Source organism: Homo sapiens, chromosome 12 (genome assembly GCF_000001405.40).
Source record: "Homo sapiens chromosome 12, GRCh38.p14 Primary Assembly".
NCBI classification, from domain to species: Eukaryota; Metazoa; Chordata; class Mammalia; order Primates; family Hominidae; genus Homo; species Homo sapiens.
Window position 1 is genome coordinate 128,149,463 of NC_000012.12, and position 10,333 is coordinate 128,159,795.

Here is a 10,333-nt window from a genome sequence, read left to right on the forward strand (position 1 = left end):
GCACACGGCCCCCTCTAAAACCATGGAGTTCTCCATGTGCCTTTTGGCAAATCCAGCTGACTTCCTACCTTGCCCTCAATTACACAGAGAGGCGTGGGAGCACTCGTGCCCCCTCGATGACTGTTTCGTCCCTTTATATATCGTTGTGGGGTTTTAAAATAAAAATGAGTGGTTTTATTGATTACATAAAATTTCAGCTATATTAATATATAATTTAAACATTAATAATTGGAAAAAATGAGGCCGGGTGTGATAGCTCATGCCTGTAATCCCAGCACTTTGGGAGGCTGAGGCAGGTGGATCACATGAGGTCAGGGGTTCGAGACCAGCCTGACCAACATGGTGAAACCTCGTCCCTACTAAAAATAGAAAAATTAGTGGGGCGTGGTGCCATGTGCCTGTAACCCAGCTACTCAGGAGGCTGAGGCAGGAAAATCACTTGAACCCGGGAGGTGGAGGCTGCTGTGAGCTGAGATTGCACCACTGCACTCCAGCCTGGGCAACAGAGCAAGACCCTGTTTCCAAAAAAAAAAAAAAAAAAAAAAAGAATTGGAAGAAATGACTTAATTTTTACCAAGAATTATCTATAAATATGGCAACACATTCAGTGCTCAGTGACAATTTTTGAACAACCATCAAATATCTATTTTTCAGATAATCAAGAAGTCATCATTCAAGCTTTCTATTAAGCCATGTTGCAGTTAGCTCTATACACAAATATCATTACATCTGTTTTTTTTTCTCCAGCTAATGCTCTTTTTCACACAGATATAACCCCCAACTATTAATGTTACTATAATGTGCAAACTATGTTAACTTTAGATCCACAAGAGTTGCTTCGAATAAGTTTTACCTTGGAAAGCTACAAAGGCATGAGGCCTTAGTCTCAGTGAGTCTCTAAGTCCCAGTAATTCAGAGCAGAACCACTTTCAGACTAGCAAACACACTACCTGGAAGTAAACATTCAGTCATGAGAGTTGAGAACAATTTCTTAAAATAAAACAAATGTTGATAATGCTCATGAATAGATTTTGCACCAATTTTTGGAGGTGGATTCTCTGCGTGCCAGAGTTTAGTTCTGCTACGTAGGAAGGTGCCGTGGGCAGGTGCTGTAGGTGAAGAGTGAGTTCTCTGGGAGCTTCACTCCTAGCCGAGCACTCAGGACAAGATGCACAGGACCAGGTGCTCTGGGACATGGGTCATCCTTATTCCTCTTCCCTTGGATTCCTGCAATTCTGATTTCATTTCAGCATCTGGAATTTGGCACTGGATTACATGCATCCTTCAGTTCCTCTGTCTGAGACCCAGGAAAGTGGGGCTTGGTTCCCAATGCACTCCTGCAAATATATCCCCCCAGCTTGTGCAATGCCTTGAGCAATTGCTCTTATAGTATCCAACAAAATGGTCAGGCGCACTCATCAAATTTGCCAATTACTGTACTTCCCCGACAAGTTGTGAAGTTCTGATTCCAAAGTTTCAGAGTAGAGCCTTGGGAAAAACAAACGAACAGGCAAACAAACAACAACAACATATATATATATATATATATAGCACAGCAATTCACAAGATTCTGCTGCAAATGGTTTGGGACTTACCTTCCACCAGCTGGAGTTCAGACTCCATTTCCTGTTAACTGAAACTGGATTTTGTGATTCACTCTCTGGTTCCAACTCTTTTCTTCCCCTCCAAAATGGAATGCTTCCTCCCGACTGATACAGCCAACACTTGTTGAACGCTTGCTATCTGCCAAGCAGGATGTTAAGCACTTTGCTTACAGTAGCGCCACGAAATAGCAAAACAATCACTTTAAGTTCTATTATTATTCCCATTTTACAAACTGAGAAAGTGAGGCTTGGAGGTCAAGTATTGCCCAGGGTCCAAAGCTAGTGCCAGAGGTCAGCCCCAGATCCAGGTGTGTCTGACTCCGAAACTCCTGCCTCCACGTTGTCTGAATCATGATGCCCAACTGCTTGCATCTCTCCCTCTGCCCCACCTCTGTGACTTTCAGAGACTTAGGTCTTTACCTATAAAGTAAGGAAATCTGCTCAAGTTTCTGCCCATCTCTGAAGTTCTAAAAGCCTAGCTGAGCTCAGCGTGTATCCTCAGTTAAAAACCCTTCAACTACATTAAACTCAAAGCAACCTTCATCTGTTAAACACCATCGTTTATGAGGGCCCACAATTTCCAGGTCCTTTTCCAAGCACTGGGAACACAAACTAAAAGAGAGCGCACCTGCCTTCGCATAGCTAACTGGAGTCTACCTCGGGAGACGGACAGGTCTGATGCACTGTATTACCAGGGCAACTGGCAGAAGAACTTCAGTGATGGTACAGGTTGCTGAGTCAGGAGAAGGAGCTAGCTGGGATTCAGGAATCAGACATCAGGGTGGGCTTTATAGAGAAGCCAGTATTTGGAGGAGTTTCTGAACCTGCAGATATGAGGCACATTCAAATCATAGTAACAACTACAATATGTTGAATGCTTACAACGTGCCGCATACTGCACCCTTCATGCTTTAGCTCACTCATCTCCACCGCAGCCCTGTGGGTGGGATGGATGCCTCGTCATCCCCATTTGACAGATGAAGCCTGAGTCTGGGAGGGGTCCCATAACTCCCCAGAGATCACCTCCCTGGCAGGAGGAGCAGCTCAGCTTCAAGCCCAGGCAGTTTGAGCCAAGCGCACGGGTGTTGCAATCACAGCATAAAGAATAGCATGTGAAACTGCACAGAGAGTTAAGGAAACCTCAGTTATCTCCATGAGGACCAGGACAGATGAAGCAGGGAAAGGAGGAGAGATGGAGAGGAAGATGAGGGCAGATTTCAGTGGATGTGGTGGTACATGCTGAGAAATCAGGGCTTCTCTGTGTGAATAACAGGAGACCTTTCATGGCTCTTGAACAGGAAGAAGCCATACGATCAGATTATTTTTTAATTGACAAATAATAATTGTATATATTATGGGACACAATGTGATATTTTGATATAAGTACATATTGTGGAATAATTAAACCAAGCTAATTAATATATCCATCACCTCATATATTTATTCTTAATGGTGAGAACATTTGAACTTATTCTCTTGGTAATTTTGAGATACACATTTTGAGACATAACTCAAGTGGTCCTCTAATGAACCAATAAGGGTAAGAGAGAGTGAAGGCATATAGCTGATTAGACCTTTCCACAATCGGGGAGGCAAGCGAAAAAGAATGATTGAGGAGACATTTTAGAAGCTGAATACCAGGCTGGACACAATGGCTCACACCTATAATCCCAGCACTTTTGGAGGCAGAGGTGGGTGGATCACTTGAGGCCAGAAGTTGGAGACCAGCCTGGCCAACATGGTGAAACCCCATCTCTACTAAAAATACAAAAATTAGCCAGGTGTAATGGTGAATGCCTGTAATCCCAGCTACTTGGGAGGCTTGAACCAGGGAGGCAGAGGTTACAGTGAGCTGAGATCATGCTACTGTACTCCAGCCTGGGTCACAGGGCGAGACTCCATCTCAAAAAAAGGAGAAGAAGAAGAAGAAGAAGCAGCTGAATGCCAGGCTGTAATGGCCAATCAGGTGTGCAGAGGGATCCACCAAGGTGCCCCTGGGTTAGGCCATTTGTGTTGCTATAAAGAAATACCTGAGATTGGGTAATTTACAAATAAAAGAGGGTTAATTGGCTCATGATTCTGCAGGCTGTACAGGAAGCATGGTGCTGGCATCTGCTCAGCTTCTGATGAGGCCTCAGGAAGCTTTCAATCATGGCAGAAGGCAAAGGGGGAGCAGCACATCACATGGCCAGAGCAGGAACAAGAGCAGGGGAGGTGTCAGGCTCTGTTAGACCACCAGACCTCATGTGAACTCAGAGCAAGAACTCACCATGATCACAAGGACAGCACCAAGCTATTCATGAGGGATCCAGTATTATGACCAAAGGACCTCCCACCAGGCCCCACCTCCAACACTGGGGACCACATTTCAACATGAGATTTGGAGGGTACACACATCCAAACCATATCAGCCCCACTGTCTTCTGTTTAGGAGCCTGGGAAGATGGGGACCAATGATCAAGGTGGTGACCCAGTAATGAGATCAGGAAGATAATGAGGTTGGTGAAGGAAGTTAAGCTCCACCAGGTCCCTCATGTTGGAGTTGACCATGAATGCCTATGAGGGGGTTGGAAATGAAGACTCGGAGCACAGGAGATAGGGTCCCCCTTAGCCATGTTGCTCGCCCTTTCCACTTCCGCCATAAAGCTTGTAGCCAACCCCACAAACGTTAGGGTTTCTCCCTCCCCTGGGTTTTCAATGTGAGATGTATTAATACATAGGGACCCTTGCAATTTACTGTGCATTTTTCTCCTATTACCTCACATGCTGGTGCCTCTGAGCAGTGGTTTCATTGAGATTAAAGGCAGCGTCCATGTCTGGCACAGCCAGGAATCTTGCAGAGGCTTTGGATGTCTGCCTCTAAGGGTTTGGGGGCTGTGAATCCCATTGAGGATGACAGAGACGCTGCTTCTCTGTGCTTTGGTGGCACTGGCCCCCAGACAGGACTAAGACAAAAGTCACTAGTGTTACCTAAATTTGGCCTAATATTCTTCATGGGGCTGTTACAGGATTTAAGACTATGTGGCTTGAAATGCCTCTAGATAGGATACACATAATCCAATCTAACACAGTCCCCCAGTTTAAACCTTCCAATATTTACTTGCCTTTCTGGCTTCTGAAAATTGAGTTTTCATCCCCTGGCGTCAGCACTGGACTCATGCTGGGTCTGCCTTGTCTAGTGCCTCTCAGCCATCTGAGGGTTTATCTGGAAAGCCACCATGCTGGGCTGTGTGCTTTGAGCCTAAAGATAATAAAATCTCTCTTTTTTCTCACCATCTTTCCTGTTCTGATGGGTCAGGCCCTTTCGTGAACCATTCTATCACCAAAGCTTCTGGACATAGGACCCTTTTCCTTCTATTATGAACAATTAGACTGTGAAATATTCACTGTAGTAAACAGTGTAAGCCCTGCTCTGAATTACTGAAATAAGAAAGAAACCCACAGAGCCATCGGAGCGCCGTATTCATACCTGCCTGCGGCATAGAACTCAAGTCCACAAGCTGAGTGTCTTCTGACGTGTGTTAGCATTTCTCTAGCCATTTTTCTATAGCTAACTCCACTCCTCTCTTTTTACTCATCTTGCTGGTTTACTCTCATTTCCATTTATACAATTACAGACTTAGTGGCTAATAAAAGTTGAGAAGTTCCTAGAGCTTAAAACGGAACCAAGAAGAACTTGTAACTCACCTTGGATGGAGTCGCACTTTCTAGATGGAATGAATTAGTCCTTGGAGTGTGAGGAGGAGATTCTGTGTTTTCCCCTTAGGGTATCCTCTCTCCACCGCTCTCCACTTGGCTCTGTTCCCTGGGGGCTGTTTATTCATCTCCCAGAATCCCTTGTCCTCCTTCTAGTGTGTGGATCTAATAAGAAGTGGATCTCAGCTCTCACCAGTAGCAGATCAGAGGATGGATGGAGAGAGGTGGGAGCATTCACTCCTGCTGTCAGATGCATGTTTCTGCAGAGTCTGTGTGCCACTAAGGAAGGCCACAGTGTCTGCCAGTCACCTTTTCCAGGGCTGTGCCTCCCTCAGGCACTGGTGCCTGCTCTCCCCCTTGCCCCTCCAGGCCAGGGGAGGTAAACCCTGGATGCTTTACCCCATCTCACTGATCCCCTCAAGCCTAGCCACATCTTTGCACATAGTCCCTTACTTGAACTCACTTCAATCTGTTTGTGTCATCTGTTTCCTTCTGAGATACTGATTGGTACAAGTTGGGTTTCTTTTGTTTGCTTCAACTGTCTCTGAGATCCTTCAATATTCTTTACATTAACCTAAACCTGAGCCTGGAGGCCAGTTTCTGATGAATGGCACTTTCTCAAGTAGCATTTCCTTTTAGCATACCTGGCCACAGAGAAATGAGGTTGTCTAAGGAGAGTATTGCACTATGTGGACACGAACACCATTCACTCCAAACTAAGAGGAGAGCATTCTCTGGAGGAATCTACAGAAACAGCGATTGGCATCACTCTGGACCCTCTGCTGAAACATGTGCATTTTCTCCTCTGACATTTGCACATCGTTAAGAATCAGCACAGGCATCCTTTGATGAATGAGAACTGACCACACAGAGTATCTATGTAAGGGAATGACTGGAACAGGGCAGAATCCATAAGCATTGCCTTTGGACAGAGATCTGTGCAATTTGAGTTTTCCCTTGGAGAAATCCCTTCCAGACAATCTGTTGGTTTCCAGCTGTGTTGGCTTTGCTGATATGTGTGGTCTTCTGTGGCCTGCTCAGGGGGCTTCTGGAACAGATGGTTGTGAAGAGGCAATAAGCACCCCCCTGGCCTCCCAGGAACATGTGTCCACTTATGCTTTGCAAGAAGTAGATCTCCCACAAAACAAAGGCTGTTCCAGCAAAGAAGCAGAAGCCTCCAGGCCAGCCAGCTCCGCGTCGATGTGGGCTGACATACCTGAGGGTCACATTGTTCAGGATGCCAAACTCATCTTTCCTGGTTTCCACAGTAGAGTTAATCTCACTCATCTTGTTCTTTTTTGATAGACTTTATTGAAAATTTAGTGTACCTTGGAGCAAGTTCCTGTAACCATGCACACTGCCTTATATCACCTTATATCAGTTTTCTTTCTTCTTTTTTCTTTTCTTTTCTTTTCTTTCTTTTTTTTTTTTTTTTTTGAGACAGAGTTTCACTCTGTCACCCAGGCTGGAGTGCAGTGGTGTGATCTCGGCTCACTGCCACTTCTGCCTCCCAGGTTCAAGTGATTCTTCTGCCTCAGCCTCCCAAGTAGCTGGGATTACAGGCGCACACCACCACGCCTGACTAATTTTGTATTTTTAGTAGAGACAGGGTTTTGCCATGTTGGTCAGGCTGGTCTCGAACTCCTGACCTCAGATGATCTGCCCGCCTGGGCCCCCCAAAGTGCTGGGATTACAGGCGTAAGCCACCATGTCCGGCCTATATCAGTTTTCTTCTTCCTCTTTTCTGCCGCCACCCTCATGTGCCCTTGGGACTTCTTTCCCAGCATGGTGACCATGCAAGGGCACATGGGGGTGGCATTTCCAGTTCTCTCTCCCAGGCATATCCTGCTCCCTTGTGGTAGAGTAAAGGCCATGAGACTACTTCTGGCCAATGGGTTGTGATGAGGAGTGATGATGATTGCTTCTGAGATAGGTCATTTCATTGTCAGTTGCAGACCCTTTGGAGCTCTTCCCCTCTTCTGCAATGACTGCTAATGTTCAAGGTGGTGTCTGCTCCATCAGCTTAGATAGAAGGAGGAGAACGAAGCTAAACAAAGGCTCCTATTGACCTGCAATGGACAAGAAGCATGATGAAAATATAAACTCTTAAGATATGTCAATAGGGGATACTGACTGATACAGCAGTTAGGCAAAGAAGTCAGACCAGCAGAATGTAAATCTCTATTATTTCCTTTCTATGTGGCCCTGGGAAGTTATTCAAACCCCTCCTGCTTTAGTTTATTTACCTGTAATAATTGAGAAATATCAGGACCTATGGCAAGTGTTAGGACCTAAGCATTGTTGTAAAGATTAAATGAATGTATACATGTAAACTACTTAGAAACGTTTGGCACACAGTGAGTGGTTGTTTTCCTTATTCCAGGTAGACTTCTTCTTCTTCTCAAGCTGTCATGTAAGACAATACCCAGGCCAGGGAAGCTCAGTCTTCTCCAAAAACAAGCTTGTCAAAATATTCTAACAAGTGCTGGCCTCTCCCTAGGAGGACGGGTGGTAAGCTAAACTAGTTTATTTGTTCTATATTTTGTGTTACTCCTTAGCCTCTCTCACATTTCAGTGGCCTTACAATATGGCACTATCTTGCCTCAGAATATTGATGTTACAGAGAAAAGGATGGAAAAGCTCAAAAGCCTTGCCCAAGGGCCATGGGTAGAGGCCATGGAGGCTGGTGTGTTCAAGCATGGCGAACAGCCTGGATCTGTGCTGGCTGCTCTGGCATCTCTGCTCAGTTATCGTGCCTTTGTTGTATTTGTCTTAAAGCATTAAGGAGCAACGTGGAAGCTGGTTGCTAGAAAGATTATGGGGATTCCAACAAGATTCCTTATTCTAAGACATGAAGATTCCCTAAGTGGAGGAGTTGGAGTACAGTTTGAGAATGAGCAAAGAGCTTTGACGTCTGTCCATGTAAGGAGAGAGTTTTGCGTTCTGCCTTCCCTTTGCTTCTACTCCAGTTTATGATGGGGAGAATCAAAACAATGTGTACTTGTTTGCAGAATGTGGGGACAAATAGGAACTTAGCCTAGTATCTAAATAGAGTCCAGGAAGCTGGTAAGACTCCAGTGACCAATGTCTTGGCAAATAGTTCTGAGATAACTTCCCAGAATTTTCTGCAGCAGGGCCGTACATCAGCAGGATGGCCCCCGCACCTGTCGAAGGTAGCAAAGTAGGTGGGTTCTGGGACAGTCCCTTGTAGATTTCTGAAAGGAATCAATTTCCAAGCAAACCAGAAAAACTCAAAAGTAGAGAAACCCAAAGAGAGTTGCTGAATCTAAAGATAATCAAAAGGAGCATAAACTCCCCAGTGACATGATAATCATGGGCATGAAGAGACGTAGATTCTCAGTGAATACTGTCATGGGCAGAGGCTTCCAGGACACACACACACACAGGAGTACACGTGCACACACACACCTCGCCACTATGTAAATATCCTAAGACACAATCTCATAAAAGAAAACATGGCAAAATCCTAAATTGACTAAGTTTTTCTGCCATTCTGGACACAGGAGCTTAAAATAGATGTTGAATTGTATAAAAATAAAGAAAGTTTATATTTCTTTCACAGTTGATTTGATGTGCTAAGTTTCACAACCACTGCAGAGGCATTCTAGGACCAGCTGTTGAGAGAATACCGTTTTCCCCATCTCATTACACGCACTCCAAATAATACACGTTTCACACAAGCAAACAAGGTGCAGCGGTGAAGATAAATCTTAAACATTGGAGTGATGAGAATCACCACTTACTCCTGGTGATGAAGAAAGACAGGTTTAAATTTTATGTTGGCTTCAGCATCAGCTTATTCAGGAAAGTTTCTAGCTTGCTAATGCTTGCTAATAGCTTCTATTGATCAAGCAGATAGAATGTACTGAAGAGAACTTGTGCTCAGCAGTTTGCATCCATTGTCTCGCTTAATCCTCATAAACTTGTAAGGCGGATACCACTTTATACTCAAGTCAATCCTGTTTGATGTGTTTCTGTTCTAAGAATCTGCACAAAGCACTAAAGCTGCACTTATATTTATAGAATGGGATATAAATGTTAATAACCTTGAAACTATAAAACTGTGGCTTGTAGAAAGTGGGAGCTAGTCCCAGTGGGGAAGAAAAGAAGAGAAGAAGGTGGGAGCTCTGCTATTGTGCCCTCCCATAGGGGCACATTCCTGACAAGAGCTGATGGAGCAAGTGAATGGAAGCCTTAGCATCTTATTAAAATTACAAAAAATACCAGTAGAAGAATCATACCACTAACTATCCTTGGAAGCTGAAGGAGGAGGAAGAGATTTGTGAATGGAAAAAAAATCTCATCCTTCATAGAAGAGAAAACAAATGTTTTATAAAGTCAGTAAATATAGAAATAGCATTATAAGCATATTATAGTGTCCTGGAGGAAAACACCCGCCAGAAGAATCAAAAGCTCCAAAGTCTAAAAGAGGCTGCAGAAGCACAGATGTGAACTTGAAGAGGGTGGAATGACGACTTTTGAATTTCATCATAACCTTAGATTTAATTAGTTGCCACATGCATATATTACAACGCAAATATACATATATATTTTTAATGTTGCTAATTTATTTCACTGAATATATCCAAAATATTATCATTTCAACATGAAATGAAGAGAAAAATTAGAGATACTTTACCTTTATTTTGTACTAAGTCTTTGAAATGTGTTGTGTGTTCTATACTTATAGCACATCTCAAATTTTCCCAGATTTGGCCTTTTAAAATGACTGCTGTATACTTGTGACATGTCCCCATCATTTTGGGGGGGCACTTTCTTACTTTTTTGTATTAAGTATGCTCCAAATTCATCTTATCTCCACTGTGTCCCAACCCTGGAATCAGCCATTTCTTTCTGGAGTCCTGGTTCCTTTTGGTATGAATGATTTTAAAGACCAAGATATGGGCTCTAGGTGCATGCATTGCACCTGAGGTGCCTTTGTTAGATGGCCAGAGCTAAGGAATAAACGTATGTGTGTATCCTCTGCCTACTATATATATATATATGTATGT

At 43.9% G+C, this 10,333-nt stretch overlaps 1 annotated feature.

Moving 5' to 3' along the window:
* Window positions 8,896-9,549: an enhancer, noted in NCBI's record as "OCT4-NANOG hESC enhancer chr12:128642903-128643556 (GRCh37/hg19 assembly coordinates)". NCBI's record gives its function as "activates a minimal SCP1, AML or CMV promoter by ChIP-STARR-seq in primed H9 embryonic stem cells {active_cell/tissue: H9 hESC(primed)}" and the evidence as "EXISTENCE:reporter gene assay evidence [ECO:0000049][PMID:30033119]".